This window comes from Homo sapiens, chromosome 22, assembly GCF_000001405.40.
Source record: "Homo sapiens chromosome 22, GRCh38.p14 Primary Assembly".
In the NCBI taxonomy this organism is placed as follows: domain Eukaryota; kingdom Metazoa; phylum Chordata; class Mammalia; order Primates; family Hominidae; genus Homo; species Homo sapiens.
Genome location: NC_000022.11, coordinates 27,138,132 through 27,162,333, shown reverse-complemented (window position 1 = coordinate 27,162,333; position 24,202 = coordinate 27,138,132). Strand labels below are relative to the sequence as shown.

Genomic DNA, 24,202 nt, shown 5'->3' with positions numbered 1-24,202 from the left:
AGTTGAATCCCAACTCCAGGACCCTATCATTGAGGGTTGACCGTGGGGCCAGTTCTTCTATGGGTTGGTACTCCCATGGTTGTCCCAGGCAAAAAGCAAAAAGCCTCCCAGCTTGTGCATGAAGTGGGCACCATGGCCCAAGTCGAAGCTGTCTGGAACTGTCCTCCATAATCAGGGCTGAAGTCCCAGGAGGGCTGTGGGGTATAAGTCTTCAAGCATTGCCTGGGGCCCTCCCCTCTGACATTGCTGTGGGGTATTACTTCCTGAGAATCTACACTTACAGGAAAAGAAGACATCCCAGAATCCCAGTCTCCACTCTGTCCCTCATACACTGTGACCTTGGACAAGTCACTCACCCTCTCTGGGTTTCAACTTCCCCATTGGTAAAATTAATCATTTAGGCCAGACCATGGTTTCCACCTTATCAAGTCCAGAAACTCTGAGTTTTTTTTTTTTTAATGGTTAAACATGTTGTATGGACTCAATGTTGACAGAAAACCCAGTAAGATAAGGTAATAGAAAAGAGAGGAATAACTGAAGAACAAGGCAATATCTGTGGACATTTTCTAATTTTTGATAGTCTGTGATATTTCTATGCAAAAGTCTCTCTTCTCTTTCTCCCTCCTCTGTTCTCCCTTTTCTCTTCTTCCTCCTTCTCACTCTCCCTCTCCTCTTCCTCTTCTTTCTCCTACTCCTCCTCCTTCTTCCCTACTTTCTATTCCTCATCACCATCCTTCCACTAGAATAGAAGCTCCATGAAGAAAGGGATATCTATCTCTTTTGGCCCCTGCAGTATCCGTAGCATGTAATCCACTGTCTGGCATAGAGTAGGTGCTGTGGCAGGAATGAATGGATAATAACAACAGTGTAAGCTGAGCTTCTATTTGTTAGGCATGAATCAGGACTGAAGGAGGGCAGAGAGGCTCAGAGATGAATGAAACAGAATGGATCCTGAACTTGTGGTGCTCAAGGCACCACCGAGGCCCTTCTGTCCTCCCCAGCAATGCCTGGGGATGGTGGAGGCGAGGTGGAACCCAATCAATACACATTAGCATAGAAGCTGCAGGCAAAACGAGATATGAAGGATCACAAGTTGAAAAAACACAGATGAGGCAGAGGCCAAAAGCCAGCTGGAGGACAGTGCTGGAACTCCTGCAGGTCTCTATCAAGATGGGGTGAGGTCAGGGGCCTTAAGGCCCAGGGATGTCCTGTCCACATTGTGACCACAGAGGAGACAGAGGCAGCAAAATGAGAATCCAAGAGCAGCCAGGGCACAGACACTTGAAAGGATGGCCCTGGAGTCTGTGGGAAACTGGTGGAAAGGTCAGGACCAACTGGAACAGGAGGCTCCCTGCCCAAGTGGGGTTTGCATGCAGGTTCCAGGCAGAGAGGCATCCAATGGCAGAGCAGCCCAACAATTTGGAGCATGGGCTTTGGAGTCAGACAGACCTGGGTTCAAATCCCAGCTCAGCTCCCCTATGCTCCTGTGTGACCTTCACATGTTGCTATGTCTCTCGGAGCCTCAGTCTTCTCCTTTGTAAAACAGGGATCCTCGCCTCTCCCCTTACACATTCTGTTGAGTCTAAGGTTCTAGCACAGACCTGCACAACAGTGAAGGCTAGCTGCTGTTATTCAGTAATGTTAGTAGCCATAGGCTGGGGGCTGGAGTTCATAGGAGACAGCCAGGACTGCTGAGAACAAATTCACAGATCAGTGCTTGGCTGGGGGGATGTCTTTCTCACTGCCTGTAGGACATCTTTGAGGGTGTCTCTTTCTTTATTCAAAGCACAGCTTAAGGGGGAGACCATACTGTTACTGTGAATGTTTAGCTGAGGCTCTCAGCAGGGCCAGCTGATCCCAGAGAGCAAAGACCCCAGAGGCTGTCCCACACAGTGACAGGGCAGGAGGCTGAAAGCCACGTGCGGTCCTGTGAAAAGACCAAATTGCAAAACACCACATTTGTGCCCCCAAAGCATGCAAAGCTCACCACGGATGCTCACTGTGCAGCTGCGCTTCCCAAAATGATACACTCTCAGGAATGTTACAGATCAGAAATTCACCTCTGCTCAGAGCCTGGATTCCAAACTCCAGGCGAGGGAAAATGTTGGATTCCCATTGTGGTGGTTCGGGAATCAAAAGGAAGACATTCAGTGCCTGGGAGGTGGAAGGCGGCATGGGGGATGGGGAGGAGACTGAAGAGGGGCTGCCCCATTTCACACTTGTTTGTTTTTTCAATTGGCAGGGGAAAAGGTCCGAACAGTTTTCACACCTCAGCCCAAGAGATACTAAACTACAAAGAGCCAGTGTAAGCTGAAATGGTTTCAAATCCCAGTTGGCCACTTATGAGATTCCCGCCTTGAGTATGGACAACAGTCACCCACTTCACAGGGAGGAGGGATTAAGGGAGGAAGCCCTTGTGTAACACGGGCTCAAGGCGAACACTCAAAGACTCAATGAACGGTAGTTTCTGTTATTATTGTCACTGAACACGTTGATTGACTGTGACACAAATTCCACCTCTTTACCCAGAATCTCCCACCTGTGAGCTTAGTGAGGCCCAGTCTCAGCATCCAGTGTGATTCTCCCAGCACCAGGGCCGGTGGACTTCACCTTCTCCAGTCACAGATGGGGCTACCAAGTCACATAGGGGTCTGCTGGGGCTTCCATAAGAAAATACCACTGCCTCAGAGGCTTCAACAGCAGAAACTTATTTTTCCACAGTTCAGGAGGCTGGAAGTTCAAAATCAAGGTGTTGGCAGATTTGTTTGTTCTTGAGGCCTTTCTCCTTGGCTTGGGGATGGCCGCCTTCTCGCTGGGTCCTCACGTGGTCTTTCCTGTGTGTGCACAGCCCGGGTGCTTCCTGTACATGCTCGTCTCTTAAAAAAAACATCAATCAGATTAGACTAGGATCCACCTCAAAGACCTCATTTTAACTTAATTACCTTTTAAAAGATCCTCTCTCTAAATACAGTTACTCGAGGGAGTTAGTTAAAGTTTCAACATACGAATTGGGAGGGGGGCGCGATTTGGCCAGAACACTCAGCGCATAAGTGGTGATATGAGAGGGCCACCCTGAACCCATGTCCTTTCCTTTCAGCCACGCCCTCCCCAAGCCCTTTGCAAATCCTGCTTCAAAGCCCTCACCCCTCTGTTCACTCGCACCTTCAAGATTTGCAATCCCGAGCTAACCTTCAGCACCTTCCAGGGTCCAGAGTTGCAGGCAACAACCTGCTCTGGCCTCCATGTGGAAATGTGGGCTAAGAAGTAGATGTCCTTTCATCTCAGGCATGAAAGGTATCTGTGCTCAGGAAAAGCCTTCAGCAGGAAGCGACGCCTACCTACACGCAGGCTTTTACAGGCTACTTTTGTGTTTGGACTATTTATGTATTATTTGGTTCAGAGTTACCTCCCTTCAGACCATAGAGGCTCCAATTCTTTTTTTTTGTTTTTTGTTTTTTGTTTTTTTTGAGATGGAGTCTCGCTCTGTCGCCCAGGCTGGAGCGCAGTGGCGCGATCTCGGCTCACGCAACCTCCGCCTCCCAGGTTCAAGCGATTCTCCTGCCTCAGCCTCCCGAATAGCTGGGACTACAGGCACGTGCATAGGGGCTCCAATTCTGTTTCTTACTAGGATACTCTCTTTCTGCAAGCTTAGGAACCCTTAGGAACCCTTGTCATTCTCTTTTCCTGGGACTCCCCTCCTCTCCTTACTCTTTCCTTCTTTTCTTTTCCACGGGGAGCCTCAAATCACAAATATGTCTGGGTAGGACAATGTCTTCCACTAAGGGGGGAATATTGGGGTCATCTTTTATTAAGAAGAAAGCGATTGAAATGACACACTTGAACATATTGCTATTAGAAGCTTGAAAAGTATTTCCCTCATTAACGTAAAAGGGAAAAGGGGAGCTAGCAATCTTGTTGATCAGCAGCTGCAATTTATTTTAAACTGTCCATTTTCTGGATGTCAGAGGACGACTTTTATGTATAATCTTATTTCCAATTTCAACAAAGAACACTTCACTCATGTTCTGTGCAGATTTTTTTTCATAGACAATAACCGATTATAAAAGCGGTTCTCAGCCACCCACCGCCCCCCCGCCCCATCTCGTAGTGGTGTTGACATATGGAAATGAATCAAAATGTAATACGCATAATTACAAGCATTGTAAGCAGGGTACAATTAGTGTCTCTTCAAAGCAATGTTGTAATCAAAAGGCACCACTAAAACAGTCCAAGGAGTGAGAAGACTATCCAAGGAATTAGACACGGATTGGAAGGAAGTTTCTTTCTTTTTTTTTTTTTCTCCTCTCTTCTCCTGTGTATAGATACTAAAGTTGCCTCCTATTCTATTCCTGAGTGGGTGCAGAGAAATCAATTCTAATTATTTTCTCCACCCATCGAGTTGAACACAGACAAGGAAGCCTCGCTTTAAAAATAAACCCAGCCACATGGAAGGGGGGGAGGTCTCTTTTTTGAAGCTTATATTTGGAGAGTGTCTTTTAATGTCACAAATCCCTGGGGAAGTGTCAGGAATGAGCTGGCCAACTGGGTCCCTGTTGGGAGAATTATCTCCCTGGATGCCTTCTGTGTAGCCAAACCGCATTTTAGGATAGAGGTGAGGGCTGGGGGTGGGGCCGGCGGTTGGGGGGTGGGGGGTTGTTTTTACAGTAGTTGTAAAATTTCAGTGCATTTTTTTATATCGAATCCTTTGCCAACATTTAAAAATAAGGAGGTGTTCGCATCAAAGTTGTGATTTTCACCACCTCCTGAGAAATGACGGGAGCTGACCACATGTAACCCACACCCTCATGGGACATCCTTCACTGGTGCCTGGCACCAGCGGGCCCTGGAAACAGGATGGGTGACTCCTGTTCACCATCTATTCCCAGCCCAGCTCCTGTGAGTATCTTATTTTTGCCTCCATTACTGAATGTAATGAACCATGGGGGCCCTGCTCACCTGCCACTTGCAAAGGAGCTACTGTGCCTGGCCACTTTCCCTTTCCCTTAGTCCCCTGCATTTACCACTTTCTTCCATCTCTCTGAGATGCACTTTCCTCCCGAAAATTCCTATCACCACCCACTCCCGCCCAGCCCAGCTTTGGCGTCTCCTCCACTAGAAGGTGTTCACTGGCCATTGCCACCTACCCCCCAAAACCTCCAAGCAGCATCCGTCACCCTTGACCTTGTGCGTGCCTCTTTGAATGAACTCTTCACACCACAGCTCAACCCCACCTCAAGGTTCATCTGGGCGTTTTTCCCTCGCCTGCAAGCCCCTTGGAAGTGAAGGCCCTGCCTTCTTTATGGCTACATCCCAAATGCAGAATAGAATCTGGCACATGGGAGGTGTGAAGTCCTTGTTTGAATTTTTGAATGAATTATTCAATGAGAGCTGCCTCTTTGTTGTCTCCAAAGGGAGGCTGGAATAAGAAAAAAGGAGAAAGTGATGATTACAGAGAACCCACTCTGTACCTGCCATTCGGCCTAGGTTGGGCCCCATAAGTTAAAGAGAGAATCTCAGGCTCCACCTTTCACCTTAAAATTGATCAGCTGTTAAGACATTGACCCCCCGCCAAAAGCCAGTCCTCAGTGTAAGGTAAAATCTGATACCAGTGGTTAAAATCTTCTTTAAATATCAATCTAGTTACCTATACACACATTTATATTGCGATCTGTACCTACAATATCTTTCATCTAAATCTCATTTCAGTTTTGGGTTGATCATAACAGCAAGCATTTGAAAACTATGGAAAGACCCATCACTAAGGCACTAGTTTGACATATTGCGCTGTATTTAAGTACTGGAATATTCTGACACCACGAACATCAGATGGCCACTTATGAGCACAAGAAGGAATTCATCCAAGGGCATAAGTCAAACCATGATGGGACATGAGGGGGCTGCCATGTCTGAAAACCATGGCTCTTCATCTATAAACACATATGTGAGAGAGATGGTTAGAACTGTTTGAGCTAAATGTTAAGTATGGTCTTCCTAAGCAAGGAGCTTTCTGATGATTTTTGTTATAAGTTTCCATTCTCCCAGAATATTTCATATTAATTGTGACTTTTTTTCCCCAAAGCCCTAAAATGGCTGTAAGCTCATTGCTCTGGTATCTCATTTTCCCTTCCTCTCCTGTCTGATTGCCTGACCTTCCCTGCAGGTGCCATGATCAGTGTGTGATGGAGTGGGTCTGGGCCAATTTCTCCCATTTTGGCAAAGTCTCAGCTGACTTTGTTCGCGTTTTCAGTTCCAGAAGTCAAGGCCCCATATTGAGCTGGATTTTGCAAATATTTGATCCTGAAGCAGAGTCATCAAAAGTTCAGATGAGAAGGAGCCATGGAGATGATCAAGAATAAGCCCTATTTAGTGCAGATGGGGACACTGAGGCCCAGGAGAAGGGTGTTGGAAATAGCCGGTAGTCAGAGCCAGGCGTAGCTGGCTCAGAATGCTGGTTCTGTCACTTCCTGGCTGGGTGATCTTGAGCCAGTCCTTTCCCCTCTGTGTTATTCCATCCTGTATCTCATTTATAAAACTGGAAAAATAATAGCAATTTCAGCTAAGGGTTATTCTAAGGATGAAATGGGAGAGTAACTGGGCCTGAGCTTTTGAAAACTGCAAAACACTCTCAGATTAGAATTCTCACCATGAACTTGAACGAATATCCCCAACCATGGGAAATATATATATATATATTTATTTATTTATTTATTTATTATATATAATAAAAATTATATATATATAATAAAAATCGGGCTGGGTGCAGTGGCTCATATCTATAATCCCAACACTTTGGGAGGCTGAGACAGAGGACCTCTTGAGTTCAGGAATTTGAGATCAGCCTGGGCAACATAGCAAGACCCCATCTCTACAAAAAACAAAAAATTAGACAGCCTTGGCGGTGCACATCTATAGTCCCAGCTATTCCAGAGGTTGAGGCAGGAGGATTGCTTGAGCACAGGAGTTCAAGGCTGCAGTAAGGTATGATTGTGCCATGCACTCCAGCTTGGGAGACAGAATGAGACCCCATGTCAAAAAAATAAAATAAAATAAAAATTCGGATCATCAGAACACTGGAGCTCCTGGGAAGACTATACCAATCTCACATTTGCCGAGATTTGGAGTCTACGCTGCTGGGACTGAGTGGACCCTGGGATGTTCTTATTTCCCCTAGAGGCTGCCCTCTCCCCTCAATGAACAGCTTAAACTTTCTTACAAATGCCTCCTGGCTAAGGGCCTTCTGGGGACACTCTCAGAGGGTGTCTCTCCTGGGTTGGGGATCCTCTAATCAAGAAAAAGTGGTGGAGGAGGAAGTTGTGAGGAGAAGCAATAATCAACTCCGGGTCAGCAAGGCGGCTGACCAGGGGCCTAGCAGGAGGAAACCTCTCTGGAAAGGGCTCCCACCCAGCCGGCTCTCCCACAATGCACCAGGTGCCTTCTGCTGATAAGAACGGGCCGCGCAACCTTGAGGCGTGCGACAGGAATAGACGAGAAACGTGTCTATTCTTGAGGTCTGTAAAAGGAAACTCCTGTTTGCTGAAGAGCAGGCCGATAGGAGAGGAAAAGGGTCAAGGCCTTGGGTGTTATTTCCCCTCCGATTTTTTTGTTTTGTTTTGTTTTGTTTTGTTTTCCACTTTTTTTTTTTTTTTTAACTAAAGGGAAAAGGGAATGTTGCATTTACCTGGGAGGGTGGATGGCAAGATGTGGAGATTTAAAGGAGTTGGAATGAGCTCTGAGATTTCAACCCTGAAACTGTGATTTTGTCCTGAGTGTGAAGTTGTGGAAGACTTTTATTTCTTCTTTATCCTTTGCTAAATTTTGCCAGATATTCTTATTGTGAGTAAGCACTGTGCTTCTAATGAGGAAAAAATTAAATAAAAGTTGGCTTTGGATGCAAGTTTTGAATTTCATGTCTGTCTTTCATTTTTATTTTTAGAAATAGGGTCTCGCTTGTTGCCCAGGCTGGAGTACAGTGATGCAATCATAGCTCCCTGCAGCCTTCAACTCCTGGGCTCAAGTGATCCTCCTTCCTCAGCCTCCCAAGTAGCTAGGACGACAGTATACTCCACAATGCCCCATTAATTGTTATTTTTTATTTTTTTGTAGAAACGGGGTCTCCCTATGTTGCCCAGGCTGGTTTCAAACTTCTAGCCTAAAGTGATCCTCCCTCCTTGGCCTCCCAATGTGCTGGCATTACAGACATGAGCCACCGTGCTTGTCTGGATTTCATTTCCTGTTTGCTCTGAGTACAGTTACTAAAGCAGAAGAGTATGTTTTCTGTGATCCAGGGACAATCTCCAAGTGCGGTACTGCTCATCTAGAGAAGATGGACAAGACGGTTACATGCCCCACACTCCATTGCTGGGGAAATGTTCTGGAAAACAGCTGGGCAGTTTCTTATGAAGTTAAACATACACTTATCATATGACCCAGCATTCTCACTCCTGGATATTTACTGTAGAGAAACAAAAATTTATCTTCACACAAAAATCTATACATGAAAGTTTGTAGCAGGTTTATTCATGATAGCCCCAAACAGGAAATAACCCAGATGTCCTTCAATAGTTGAGTGTTTAAACAAACTGTGATACATTCATGTGATGAAATACTACTCAGCAATGAAAAGGGAAAGATCATTAATACATGCAACACCCTGGATGGATCTCAAAGGCATTATGGCAAATGAAAGAAAGCCAGTCTCAGAAGGCGATGGGCTGGGTGATTCATTTCCATAACATTCTCGAAGTGACATCATTACGATGGTGGAGAACCCATCAGTGGTTACCAAGAGTGGTTGGGGTGGGGTGTGGCTATCAGGGGTAGCCTGAGTTTTTTTGTGATGATCAACAGTTGTGTATCTTGGTCATGGTAATCGTTACTCAAATTTATATATGATAGGATTTCATGGAATTTTATACACACACACACACACACACACACACACACACACACACATGCAAAGTTCACATAAAAGTATAGAAATCCAGGGCTGGGCATGGTGGCTCATCCCTGTAATCCCAGCACTTGATTGAGTCCTGCTTGAGTCCAGGAGTTCCAGACCAGCCTGGGTGACATGGTGAAAACCTGTCTCTACAAAAAAAAAAAAAAAAAAAAAAAAAATACAAAAATACAAAAAAAAACAACAACAAATCTCCAGTGAAATCCAAATTAGGTTATTTTCGAATTAATAGTATTATACTAATGTCAATTTACAGGTTTTGATAACTTTACTATGGTCATGTAAGATATTATCATTAGGGGAGGCTGGGTGAAGGGTACATAGGAACTCTCGTGACAATTTTTGCAACTTCTTGGGAATCATAAACTATTTACAAATAAAATCATATTAAAAATATGAAAAGAAAAAATATTTTTAAAAAATCTACCTCCAGCTGGCCCTTAGGGTTAGTGGTTGAGGATAGAAAGGCAAATGAGGGCTATTTGAAAGAAACTCAAGACATGGTTCAGCATGCCCCTGAATGTCAATGTGGCCACAATTAGCAAACATCACCTCCAGAACCAGTGAGGCCTGGAAGAATCATAAAGTACAAAAGTCATGGCAGCAACAGTAGCTAATTATTCTCTTCCAACTGACTTATTGCTATTACCATCCTAAATTTTCAACAACAATGACAGCAATGAAAAACAGTCTCTAATGTCAGTAGCAGAACTACCCAGTGGTTGGGATTATGGATTCAGGATTCAGGAAAATTTGGTTGATGATGGCTTCTCTATCAAATAGCTGTGTGGTTCCAGGCAAGTATATTTTCCTAGCTTCTCTGAGTGATATATTGTCCATATAAAAATTGGATGCATCAGGATCCTTTCAGATTTGAGTAACAGAAACCCAATTCAACTTGCGTGAGAGACGAGGAATGTATTAGTTCGCAGAACTGTAAAATCAAAAGCTCTACTAGCTTCAGATATGGTTGGATCTAGGTGCTCACAGAGTGTTCTCAGAACTGTATCTCATCTCCACTCTGCTTTCTTTGTGCTGGTTTCATTCTTAGGCAGGACCTTCCCTCATGATGACAAAGGGGATGCCAATAACTCTAAGCCTACATCCTGTTATTGTTCAGCCCTTGTCATTGAAAAAACAGCCCTTTCCTGATAGTCACAGCTAAAGTCCTGCAATCAAGTCTCATTTCTGGAATTTATCACATGCCCATCTCTCTGACCATCACTAATACCAGAGGAATGGAACGCACTTATTAATCAGGGCTAAACCATGGCTGGACTCCTGCTCTCCCATAGCAGTCAGAGAACAACCCTATTAGAAGCACATGAGAATGTTTTTCGGGAAGAAAATCAACATATCTTTAGCATAAAGAAGGAAGATTGGAAATTGGGCTGGCAGAATCAACAGATGTCAGGAAAAGAGGAAAATAGCATCATTATAAGGACAGAATATTACATGAGACGGTTAAAGCACCCATTAGGAGGTTAACAAAGAGCTTTTCTCAACGAAGCACAGTGGCTCATGCCTGTAATCCCAGCACTTTGGGAGGCCGAGGCAGGTGGATCACTTGAGCTCAGGAGTTCGAGATCAGCCTAGGCAACATGGTGAAACTCCATCTCTACAAAAAATTTTTAAAAAATAGCCAGTGATGGTGGCAGGTGCCTGTAGTCCCAGCTACTAAGCAGCCTGAGGGGGGAGAATCACTTGAGCCAGGGAGGCAGAGGTTGCAGTGAGCTGCGATCACAACACTGCCCTCTAGCCTGGGTGACACAATCAGACCCTGTCTTAAAAAAAAAAAAAAAAAACAAAAAAAACAAACTTTTCTCTTTTCTCCACTTTCACTGGTCAATACTGTTATGAAATGAATCTGGTGCTTTGAAGAATTCAGCCTGCCATTTGCACCCACTCAGCTGTCTCAGGCAAGTCCCTCAGCAGCACCTGGCTCCCTTTCTTACAGAGCCTTCCCCAATCCTGAGCTATTTTCCATTAGTCCCCATTTGAGATTTTGCCTTCCTTACCAAACTGCTTGCCTTTGAAGAGTCTCATTTCTTCTTTCCTTTGAAAATTAGGGCCAGCCAGCATGAATGGCTGTGTGCCAGGCACAGTGCTAGACACTCTTCATTGTAAATTGTCACCCTAAGGGCAGATGGCATAGCTCCATTTTGCAGATGAACAAACTGAGTTTCAGAGGGGGACCAGCACATAGTTTGAAAATGGCAGAGCCTGATCTCAAACCCAGAGGCTTCAAATGCCATTGGCTTCAGAAGAAACCCCCTCAGTATCCCACAAGATTTCACCAGCGAAATTCAACCGGCAAAGCAGACCCAAGCATGGAACCTCCCCCACCTGCTCCAGTTTCTCCTGTTCCCATTCTAATGGGCTGCTATTTCTCTCTCTCTCTTTATGAAGCTGATCTACTGGAGACCAGGGCATTAATATCACTGTAAACCAAGCCCGAGATGGAGCAATTAGCGGCACAATTACTTCCTCTGCTCCACTTTCACCAGAGCCCAGAAATAGCATTCCATCCAGCATGCTATGCTAGGCTGGGGCACTGTTTTAATGGGGCTGAGGAACCCTTGTTCTTGCCCAATACATTATTAAAATGAAATGTGTGCTTATTATGATCAACCAACTTGTGCAACGCAAATCAGAAAGCACCTTTTTGGTGGCTGGATTATGGGCTGGTGTCAAGGAAGTCCCCTCGTCTTCTAAGCAAACCACACTTGTTCCCTCTTCACTCAATTGCTGTCCTTTCAACACACACGCACATGCACACACACGTACATGCGCACACACGCATGCATGCCTGATGGGCTTTTTTCTTCCTCTTAAAGTGATACAAAAGAAGCTCCTTTTCTTTATGTTTATCTTTTCCATTTCCTGCCCCTCCTAACCCAGGAAGTCTGGTTGCCGTTGTCTTATTCTGTGTGAGCCAATGTGTGCATGCATGCGTGTGTGTGCATGTGTGTGTGTGTGCTTGTGTGTGTGTGTGTTTCCTGGTCATTATTTTTCCTAACTGCATCCCCTTGAGTCGAAACTCAACCACGTTTGGAAAATAAATAGTGCTAGTGCTACATTTGTTAAAGCTGGAGCCCGTTGTCATGAGCAGCCTGGTTGTTGGGTACTCTGTGCGTGTGTCCAGAGAAATGGAATCATTCACCGGGCCAGGCTCTCTGGCTAAGCTAGGAGCAGTATTCTGTGACTCCCTTCAATGCCTGGTTTTCTGGGTTTCTTTGTTTGTTGGTTTGGTTAGATTGGGACACCCAGAAGGGCTGACATGTTTAGCCAAAGCCAGCATGCTTAGTGACGTTCGAGCATTTTAAGAAAATTACAAAAGCTCGCGTTTCCTGAGAACCTACTCTGAGCCAAGCACTATGCGACAGCTGCATCTACAGTGTCTGGATTGGATTTAGTTTTCTAGGTGTGATTCACCCAGCATGCCAGAGCCCTTGGATGTAGAATCTGGCATACAATAGGCAATTAGTATTAATAATAACAATAACTAGAACTCATTTGCATACTGTGTCCTGGGCAGTATGTAAATCTTACATGGTATTAATATTTTGTAGATTAATATTATATATTTAGTAATAATGTATCTGATTTAATGAAAAGTGTTTCCAACATACAGATAAAGATAGAGATAATATCATAAACACCAGCTTTTAAAAATCTTAACCTTATGGTCTCTTTGCTGCAGATTTTTTTCTTCTTGAACAAGACACTGCAGATAGAATCACCCTCTGTGTGCCAACCCTAATCTCAGTTTTCCCTCCTATCCTCCTACCACCAGCCTAAATTTGGAGTTTATTATGCCAATAGATGTTTTTAAATGTTTATTACACGATTATGTATCCATAAACATTATGTCGTGTTGCTCATGCAGGTTTTTAAACTTTATATAAATGGTATCTAGCCCTACATATCATTCTGCATCTAGCTTTTTTCTTCATACTTTACATAGATAATCACATTTAATCCTCGTAACAGCCTTAGGTGTCAGGCACCATTTTACGGATGAGGAAGGCGAGGTGCGGAAAGGTTAAAGCACAAACTCTAACATTAATTAAAGCTAAATATACATTTAAGCTGTGACTCAGCAATTTTATTCCTGAGTATATACCCCTCGAAAAACGAGTGTGCAGGGCTATTGAAGACTTGCACAAGAATGCCCATAAGAGCTTTATTCAAAAGAGCTAAAAAATAGAAACAACCAAAATGTGTATCAATGGGGAAATGGATAAACAAACTGTGATGAAGTCACACGGTGGAATATTATACAGCAAAGAAAAAGAATGAATGACGGCTGCACCCAATAGGAAAGATGCATTTCAGAAATGGAATGCTGAGTCAAAGAAGCCAGGCACAAAGGAAACATATTGTATGGTTCCACCTATATGAAGTTCAGAAATGGACAGAACTAGTTGATGATAACAGGGATCAGAGCAATGATTACTTCTGGGGGTAGAGGGCAAGATTGAGAAGGTCATGATGGCAGGGGCTGCTGGGTTATTGGAAATATTCTGCTCCTAATCGTAGTGCTGGTTACACAAGGTTATGTGTATTAGTCTGACCAGGCTACCATAACAAAATACCACAGACTGGGTAGGTTGGACAACCGAAGTTTACTTTCTTACAATTCTGGAAGCTGGAAGTGTAAGATCAGGGGCCAGCAGGTTTGGTCTCTCTTGAGATCTCTCTCCTTGGCTTGCAGGTGGCCGTCTTCTCGCCGTGTCCTCACATGGCCTTTCCTCTGTACACATGCATCCGTGCATGACATCAGTAAAATGGATTAGGGCCCACCCTAATGGCCTCATTTTACTTTACTTCTTTAAAGATCTTGTCTTCAAATACAGCCATTTTCCCAAGTTATGAAGGTCAGGACTTCAATAGATAACTTTTCAGGGGGTGGGAGGACACAATTTAGTCTACAACACTATGCACATGCAGAAATTCTTCAGGTTTTGCTTTTAGATTTATGCATTGTATTATATGTGTGCTGTGCCTCAGTGATGATGATGGTGACGATGACAAATCACTTGTGCAGATTCCTACATGTCACCCCAGCAGAGCCTATTTGAATCCAGACTGACTTCTGTATCTTGCACATGACCCTCACTCTGTGAATATTTACAAAAGGCGGGTGGAAGGGTTGGTAGAGTTACCTGCCAAAGGTCAGGCACTGATTAAGTGGAAAAGGTAATATTTGAACCTAGTTCTTCCTGACTCCACATCCAAACTGTTTTTTTTTTTTTGGTTTTTTTATCTGACCACTTCCAGGAACAAAGCCAGGGCTCTCTGGGCACCTGAGTATCCATTCTCTTTGTATCATCCATTCCATGTCCAGAACACATTCACATCCATGCTTATAGTTCCTCATTGCCTGAAGCCTGCTGGGTGGGGCATAGTATGAATACTTGCCCTCATCATCCCCATTTCACAGATGCATAAACAGAGGCCAGTCAGTATGCCTGCAGACTGTGGATAGAGCCTGAAGCCTCAGGTTAGGCAGCTTGCATCCAGCTGTGAGTCCCAGCTAGGGGAACTGAGTCAGCCGCCATCACTCCGTGTCTCGGTTTTCTGACCTCTCAGGTGGGTATCATGATGCTGGCTTTGGAGGGTAGCTGTGAGTATTAAATTACGCTGATGCAGGGCAGGTGAGCCCCCCAAATTGGGGTTTAGCTTGCGAGAGTTCTTGGCTTTGCCTAGGAAATAATTCAAGGGCTTCAAGGGCTAGCCAGTGGTGTTAGCAACTTTTCTTGAAGTGGCAGTGTACCACAGCAGCAGAGGTACTTCTTCTTGCAGAGCAGGGCTACCCCATAGGCAATGTGCCCAGAGTAGCAGCTCAGAGGCAGTCCTGCAGTCATATTTATACCCACTTTTAATTATATGCAAATTAAAGGGTGCATTATGCAGAAATTTCTAGAAAAGGGTTGGAAACTTTCCAGTCATCGGGTTGTTGCCATGGAAAGGGGCAGTAACTTCCAGGTGTTGCCATGGCAATGATAAACTGACATGGCACACTGACAGGCATTTCCTATGGAAAGGTGTTTTCACCCTGTCCCTATTTTAGCTAGTCTTCAGTTTGGTCCCGTACCTGAGCCCTGCCTCCAGAGTCAAGTCCCATGTCCTACCTCAATGCCATGCCTATAAAGGGGGTAGCACTGTGCTTGACACACCATCCAATCTCCTCTCTCTTTGCCTGAAGCTTTAGATTCCCTTTCGATTCAGGGTTCCTTGTTTGTGGCTTGGAGTTGGCCTCTGAGGTCTCTTGTGCTTAAAGATTCCATGATTTATGGCATTTTATGTAAACATTGAGGACACACTCAGCTCTGCACAGGACAGAGAGGAAGGAGGAGATACAGGCTGGCATGGTCTCTAATTCCAAGAGGGTAACAATAATGTTAGTGGGGGAGGCAACACATCCAGATCAGCTGTCCTCTGCTTCTTCTGTTTATCCTGAAACACCCTTAGGCCATGACTGCAACTCAGTGACAAGATTCGCTCCTGCATCTGGCTTGTGAAGGATTTGGAAGGGATGGCACAGCTTGGGATGAACTTGCACAGAGGACCTGGGCACTGGGGCATCATCCCCTGGGATGGCCACCCCACTGCAGCTGGCATTTACTGAGCATTCTACTCCATATTAGCCTATAAAACCAGAAGAGAAAACAAGAGCCTTCACCTCACAGAGCAACATAAAAATAACCTTAAAACAGGCATCTATAAATGTGGAGCTGGTAATTATTCGGATCTAGTTAACCATGCAACAAAATGGAATAAACTCGGCTCCATTAGCCTTACTGTAAAAGCACTTTTTGGTGATTCATGTTTATTAAACTGTTAACATTTAAAAGAGTGGATGCTCACTGTCATTTCTGCTTTGGAACCTGGTACAGAAGAAAATACACACTTGTGGGAAAGGGGATTGGATCCAGCAGAACTTGTTAATATTTCTCTTTTGCCACCCTCTGCTCAAATGAGAACTTCCTCAACCATTCACTCATTCACATTACAGGTATTTGTTGAGCATCTTTTATGTCTCAGGAGCTTGTCTAAGTGCTGGTGCTACCACAGTGAGCAAAACAGCTGCCTATCTCATGGAGCTGGTGTGCCAATGGCGTCAGACCAATCAAAGTAAGTAACTTCTTCTATGACTGGAGTGCCTGGCCTAAATCTCTACCTGGACAACATTAAAACTGCAACTCCTGATTCCCATCGCATTCTTATTCCCTGGCTTTAGCGTTCTTCCGTAATAGCTGCCTGAACCTGCTCCTGTCATGGTGGTTGCAAATACCGATTTGCTAATAATTATTTTTATTTTTATTTTTATTTAATTTCGAGATGGAGTTTTCCCTTGTCACCCAGGCTGGAGCGCAATGATGCGATCTCGGCACACTGCAACCACTGCCTCCCGGGTTCAAGCGATTCTCCTGCTTCAGGCTCCCGAGCAGCTAGAATTACAGGCACCCACCACCAAGCCTGGACACTTTTTTGTATTTTTAGTAGAGACAGGGTTTCATCACATTGGCCAGGCTGGTCTTGAATGCCTGACCTCAGGTGGTCCACCCGCCTCAGCCTCCCAAAGTGCTGGGATTACAGGCGTGAGCCACCGTGCCCGGTCCCTCCACAATTATTAGTTGGCTGCCTAGTGTGAGGAAGGGTTGTGTCTTCTTTCCTTTATCTATTTATTATCAGAATGAATTCTTACTTTATTCAGTGGTCTGTGATCCATTATTAAGGTCATTAAAAAGAAAAGACTGAGAAATGGTTCTAGAATAAAGAGTTGGATACTCAGGAGAAACTCAAGAAACATGACATCTAAATGCAATGTGCGATCCTAGCCCAGAGATCATGGGGAAACATTTCCGAAGTGTGTTATTAGGACCACTGGTGGAATTTGAGTAGGGGCTGCTGGAAAGGCTAGTGCGCGCATCCATGGTGAATTCTCCTGTTTTCGTGATTCTACTGTGGCCATGTACGAGTTTGCTTTGGTACTTAGAAACTGCACACTGAACTATTTAATGAGAGGGTGAGCAACTGTCCCGGTTTGCTCAGGACGCTGAGGGGTTTCCCAATGTGTAGGGCTTTCTGTGCTAGAGCTAGGAAAATACCAGGCAAACCAGGATAATTGGTCACTGTGGAAATGAAGCATCAAAACCACAATTTTATCAAATAGTTTAGAAAAAATTTAATTTATGTACATACTTATGTGTGTGTGTGTGTGTGTGTGTGTGTGTGTGTGTGTGTGTGTGTATACCTATATAGAGAGAGCAAGCTTCTATATATTTGGTGATAAATTTAATCAGAAAATGATTAAGAAATGTGACAATGGCCAAGTGTGGTGGCTCACGCCTGTAATCCCAGCACTTTCGGAGGCCAAGGAGGGTGGCTCATCTGAGGTCAGGAGTTCGAGACCAGCTTGGCCAACATGGTGAAACCCCGTCTCTACCAAAAATACAAAAATTAGCCAGGTGTGGTGCTGCGCACCTGTAGTCCCACCTACTCAGGAGACTGAGGCAGGAGAATTGCTTGAACCTGGGAGGCGGAAGTTGCAGTGAGCCGAGATCGTGTCACTGCACTTCAGCCTGGGCGACAAAAGCGAGACCCTGTCCTGCACCCCCCCCCCACCCCAAGAAAAGAGAAATGTGACAAAACATTTCCAATTGCTGAAGCTGGAGAAAAGCAAAGAGAAATGTATTGCTCTAGGGGCTGACAGAATAAAGTACCCAAAACTGGGTGGCTTAGAACAGCAGAAATGTGTTGAGCCATAGCTCCGGAGGCCAGAAATCTGTGCTTGAGGTATCAGCAGGGCCATGCTCCATCCAACCTGTAGGGGAAGGATTCTTCCTCGTCTTTTCCTGCTTCTAGTGGCCTCAAACATTCCTTAGCTTACAGCAGGATTCCTCCAATCTCTACATGGCCTTCTTCCTGTGTGTCTTCACATCATCTTCCCTCTGTGCATGCCTGTCTCTGTCCACATTTCCCCTTTCTAAAAGGACCCCAGTCATGGAGGATTAGGGTTCACCCTAGTGACCTCATTTTTACTCTGTTACCTCGGACAAGACCCCATTTCCAAAGAAGATCCCATTGCAAGGCACTGGGGATTAGGACATCAGCATCTCTTTTTTGAGATGACACACTTCGACACAGAGCAGTACTATTCTCACAACTATTTTGTAAATGTGCAATTATATCAGAGAAAAAGTTCTAAGAATACAAACTGGATAATGTTACTGCATCTCAAGACCCTCAGTGGGGTCCTGAGGCTCTTAAGATAAATCTCCGCAAGCCTCTGTGATCCAAGCTATATAAGTGAGAGCCCCAGATGGGTCAGTTTAGGAGACTTTGAAAAAAGAAACTATTTTCTTTTTTTTTTGAAACACAGTTTCACTCTTGTTGCCCAGGCTGGAGTGCAGTGGTGCAATCTTGGCTCATCGCAACCTCTGCCTCCTGGGTTCAAGTGATTCTCCTGCCTCGGCCTCCCGTGTAGCTGGGATTACAGGTGTGCGCCACCACGCCTGGCTAATTTTGTATTTTCAGTAGAGATGGGGTTTCTCCATGTTGGTCAGGCTTGTCTCGAACTCCTGACCGCAGGTGATCTGCCCGCCTCAGCCTCCCAAAGTGCTGGGATTACAGGCATGAGCCACCACACCCAGCCAGGAACTATTTTCAAAGGTAGGGGAGAACCCCAAGGGCTAGTAACAGTGGGGAGCTGCCACCCCCAGGCCTGGAAGGACAGGGGACAGAGTGGGGAGAGGAGGCCGTGTGGGAAGGTCCTTGACAATGCAGCTTGCCCTATAGTGTCCCTACATGCAGGAAGCTGGAAGAGACAATATACCCACCTCAGAGTCCTCCAATCCTTGCATCTATTGCTGGCTCCCTGATGGCTGGCTGCAACCTGAAGTCATCAGTGCTGTGAAAGACACACCACATGGTTATTGTCCTGAGCACCAAGCATAGAGGAGCAGGGTGGAGAGTGGTCCACAGGGGTTGTGGCAGGTGCTGGCTCCAGTGCTCTCCACTTTCACTCCCACATTCATCTTACACACCAGCTTCACCTGTGTTAGCACCTGCACTTCCTCTACCTTCCTCTACCATCTTGATCTCTATCTATATCTTGGCCCCAGTGCACAGCAACCTATATCCCCTCTCTACAGCCCTCATCAAACTAGAGCTTTGTCTTTTACATGATCAGTGATCCACAGCTCAGCTCTGTGTCCCCCTCCAGAGCATGAGCTTCCCAAGGGCAAGAACAACCCTGTCTGATTTGCTCTTCTCTGTAACTCTTTCCGAGTGCACATAGTAGGTGCACAATAAAGAGCTGGCAAAAAGGCCAGGCGTAGTGGCTCACAACTGTAATCCCAGCACTTTGGAAGGACAAGGTGGGTGGATCACTTGAGGTGTGAAGTTCGAGACCAACCTGGCCAACATGGTGAAACCCAGTCTCTGCTAAAAAAAATACAAAAAATTAGCAGGGTGTGGTGGTGCACACCTGTAATTCCAGCTACTAGGGAGGCTGAGGCAGGAGAATTGCTTGAACCCAGGAGGCAGAGGTTGCAGTGAGCCAAGACTGTGCCACTGCACTCCAGCCTGGGTGATGGAGTGAGACTCTCTGTGTCTCAAAAAAATGCCGAGACTCTCTCTCTCTCTCTCTCTCTCTCTCTCTCTCTCAAAAAAAAAGAAAAAAAAAAGAGTTGGCAAATGACTAAGGAAATGAGGAGCGCAGGTGAAGAAGACTGGGAAGTTATCCAAAGAAAATGGGAGAACGGGACTGATATCCAGGTTTTTTGATGCCCACACCAGTGACTGCAGCACCCCCCACCTCCAAAACCTATAGCTTAGTCAACTTCATTTTTAAAGGATTACTCTGCCATCCCTTTGGGGCCCTTTTACTCTGTGAAAAACTGCTTGCAAAGTTATTCAGGGAGCAAGTGCTCAGAAGAAGAAGACTTGTTGCTATTTTCTTTTGTAAGGTGAAGTGTTTATGGATGTAATCTCACAGGCAGTTTGAAAATCTCCAGGGAGAAGAAACCAGAACCTTGTTAGGAAGAGAAGTGAGGAGTAAAGTTTGCTCTGTTAGGTGAATCAGGAAAGGACACTTGTATGCATGCATAAACAGAGAGAGAAGGTTTGCAACTGAAGAATGTATAGAATTTACAAATATACAGAAGCTCAAACCCTCATTTTTTTCTACAGAATTAGCTATGTGTGGCCGGGTGCAGTGGCTCACACCTGTAATCCCAGCATTTTGGGAGGCCAAGGCTGGCGGATTGCCTGACGTCAGGAGTTCGAGACCAGTCTGGCCAACGTAGTGAAACCCCGTCTCTAATAAAAATACAAAAAAAAAAAAAAAAATAGCCAGGTGTGGTGGTGCGCACCTGTAATCCCAGCTACTCGGGAGGCTGAGGCAGGGGAATTGCTTGAACCAGGGAGGTGGAGGTTGTAATGAGCCAAGATCATGCCACTGCACTCCAGCCTTCAGGTGGCACTGGGTCAAGTCTAGGGCCAGGACACCTTGGACAGGTCTCTTCACTCTCAGTTTTCTTGTCTTTAAATTGGGATAACAACAATGTTGACCTTGTTCATGAATTCATGCCATAATAAGTAGTGAGTGTCTACTGTATACTGCACACTGTGATTACATATCTGCAATTTTGTTTTATTTTCACAACCCATGTAGAAAGTCAGTTTTCTAAAACATTCATTATGGAAAAGTCATAATTAAAGCTCTGACAGGTGAAGTAGCCTGGCCAAGTTCACACAGCAGAGCTTGGTCCTAGTCTGGCCAGGGAGACAGATTCAAAGTCACAAAGCCAACATTTGCCTGAGGATATGGTGACCACGGAGGTAGGGAGTTGTGCTGGCAGTGGGAGGATGGAGACCCACTCCACAGATGCCAAGAAGGGAGGTTTGGGGTGGAGACAGGTGGGAGATGACATGGCAGGGTTTAACTTCTGCCTCTCTTTCAAAGACTGTCTCCCTTTCTTCTCTTAGCTCAATCATTCTGACCTTCTTTAAATTACTGGAGTGCACCAAATTCCTTACTACCTCAGGACCTGTGTCCATGCTGCTCCCTCTGCCTGGAATGCTCAGACCTATCCCCTAACATACATGTGCATGCATGCACACACACACACTTTACCTCTGCCAGTTTCATACCTACTCATCCTCCAGGTCTCAAGCATCACTCCCTGAAGAATTCACTCCTTAAATCCCAAGACCAAGACTCCTGTCATTTATACCACAGAACCTGTCCTTCACCTTCCTACCACTTTGTACAGTCATCTATTAATCTATTTCTTTTGCACTTCATTGCTCAAAGTCATGAAGACAATCCCATGCCTTGTTCATTTCTGCAAGCCTACTTTGTAGGACAGAGCCTAGCACATAGCCATTGCTCAATCAATATTGGCTGCCCAAATGAGTGAATGAATTGTTTTAACAGTCTGATTCTAAGAAAATCCTCATTTATGTTTATGTTTCTTTAGTCGGTTCCTATCAAAATAAGGATAATAGCAACTGCTAGCATTTATGGAGGACTTGCTGCATGCTGGAGCATTGCTAAGAGTCTGTATGCATTATCTTGGTGAGTACTGCCAGCAACCCGTGAGGCAGGCATTAGCAATATACCTACTTTGTGGATGAGAAAATGGAGTTTAGGAAAATCTCAATTTCTTATGAATTTGCTGGCTCTGTGCAACTCAGTTCACCTCTTTGAATCTCAGTTTGAGGAGGCTTTAGTAGTCCATGCATGCAAAACTAAATTCAGCCCATCTGTAAGACTTCCTTGCCTATGGAACAGAATAGTGCTAGCAACACCTTCATGGCTATTAATTGGGCTATTTGTGTATGGTACCCAGTGATCATGCAGTAAACAGTTGGATGGGAGCATCCTGGTCTTATAACTTTCACAGCAGAATCCCTGGCAGACAGCCATGCTTTGAAATTCCATGGTGTAATAACCATGAATCACCCCAAAGATCCCAGGACACGAGCAAGTCTGCTTCCTCTGCCCAATGCGTTGTGCAGGGAGACGCTGGACACTGTCACCAACTCAGCGATATCAGCTGCCGACAGAGCTCCACACAGAAGGGCCCTCCCGCCGACCTCGCTGAAAAGACCAGTAAATTCAGCAGCCAGTGTGTCTGGCTTTCCCACTTGTCGCCCCCTAAATCTCCCTCTAAGTGGCAGGACTCTGGCCCTGCTGCCCTGTCTGGGGGCATTTGCTTCATCTCAGAGGAGACCGGTGCCAGGAACCTCTAAGGGGTTGGCGGGGACTTTGTTTTTTCATCTCATGAGTGGTTGCCTCTGCTGCCTGACTCAGCTTCACTCAGACACAAGCTACAAACACCAGGGGTCTGGAAGTGACCCCAAAATTTCTCACTCACTAAGTTGCTTTGGTTGGCTTCATTCAAAGCATGAATGAAGCCAGGGCAGCCCCTGGAATAATGCATCCAGGTGCCCAGCTTTCTCTGGGGCCCGAAGGAGCCACCTTCCAAAGGAGAAAAACTGGGGAATCAGGCGGCCCTGGGTCAAGTCTAGGCCCAGGACCCCTTGGACACATACCTTTGCCCTCAGTTTCCTTAACTTTGAATTGGGATAACGGCAATGTCGACCTTGCTGGGGTGTTGTGAATGATTCATGAATTCTTGCCATAATAAGTAGTGAGTGCCTACTGTATACTGCACACTGTGATTACATTATGACATATATCATTTCCTTCTGTTCTCACAACCAATGTAGAAAGTCAGTTTTTTAAAATACCCATTATGGAAAAGTTGTAACTGAACCTCAGAGAGGTAGAGTAACTTGGCCAAGATTACGCAGCAGAGCTGAAATTCAAACTCAGGCTCATCAGACCCCAGAGGCTGAAAGTTTTACACACCGTGAACCCTGCAAACTGTGCTCCCAGCCACTGCCTGCTGTGTTGCTTTCCCCAGGAGTGCTGTAGGCTGCCTACTGTTACCTGCACAATAAAAATCACGATGGTAATAGCTCACATTTATTGAGACCTGCCCACGTCACTTACTGTTACATGGATTGCTTCCTTTGCATACTTTGGTTACAGTCCTTCTTTTGATTATTTTAGGTTGACCCAGACCCAAATTGGAAGCATTTTCAAATGAATCAAAAGACTCTAATCTTCGGCCCACTGGGAGCCAGAACAGGTTAACACAGAAGACTCTGATGTGATCAGATTGGCCTGTTTTGGGGATGCTGCTGGCTGATGAGAGAAAGATGGATGAAAGAAAAAGAGGCTGGAGAAACAGGCAAGGATGGGGGCCAAATGGGCCTTTTTGTTATAAAGGACCTCACCACCCCTGTCCTCTGTGACAGCATCTCAGTCCCCAGCCCCATCTTGTCTCAGCCAGGTTGATCTAGCTTAGACAGCAGTCTGCAGCTTCCCAAACTTAGAGCATTCTGCCTGAGAATGCTAGGAGAAACTCTGTCTTGTTCATTAATTCACTAGAAAACTAATTATTGATCGCCTGCTGTATGCAAAGCACTGAGTATGCAGCACAGAACAAGACACTCTAGAAGCCAAGCTGGGAGTCAGAAACACAGGCTTCAAATCCTCCCTCCACCTTGAACCTCTGCAAACTCACCTTTCCAGGTCTTCGTTTCTTCTCCTGTAAAATGGAGATCTTCTTCACCTCCACATCACAGCGTTGGTGGGAGGATGCAGTGAGATGTACATGAAGCAGCTGCTGCAGTCAGCTCCTGGGCCCTGACGGGGGTTCATTACCCAGGAAAAGCATGGAACATGGGAACTGGTGGGTGAGGAGAGAGAGCTGCCGGTCTCAGTCAGTGGCTCTTAACTCGGGTTGATTTTGTCCCCAGGGGACATTTGAAAATCTTTTTGCCTTACATAATTTGAGACGGGGGATGCTATCGCCATCTAATAGGTAGAGGCCGGGGATGCTGCTCAACATCCTACAATGTACAGGACAGCCTCACGCCCCGCTCCCGAGAATCATCTGCCCCTATGTGTCATTAGTGCTGAGGTGGAGAAGTCCTGGGCTATGTGGACACTGCCTGTACCAGGCTGCAGAGAGGGGCCTCGGTCCTAAGCTCAGCCTGCCTGTGCAGACAGCACCCCACCCCCTAGCTGCCTGGGACACCGAGGGGCTGAGCCTGCACCCGCCCCTGCCTGGCCAGATGGCTCCTTTGTCCTGGGCAAGGGGCGGAGGTGCCTTTATCTCCAAACAGACGCCCCACCCTAAAGTACCATCCCTGGGT

General features: G+C 45.5%; 1 long non-coding RNA gene across 1 annotated transcript; it reads right to left on the bottom strand.

Moving 5' to 3' along the window:
• Nucleotides 1-13,109: 13,109 nt before the first annotated feature.
• Nucleotides 13,110-24,134, bottom strand: LOC107985534 (uncharacterized). Its single transcript, XR_001755607.2, has 3 exons — nt 23,569-24,134; nt 18,805-18,875; nt 13,110-15,610 (listed from the first exon to the last, which is right to left on the bottom strand). It is a non-coding gene; the product is annotated as an uncharacterized LOC107985534 (long non-coding RNA).
• Nucleotides 24,135-24,202: the final 68 nt, after the last annotated feature.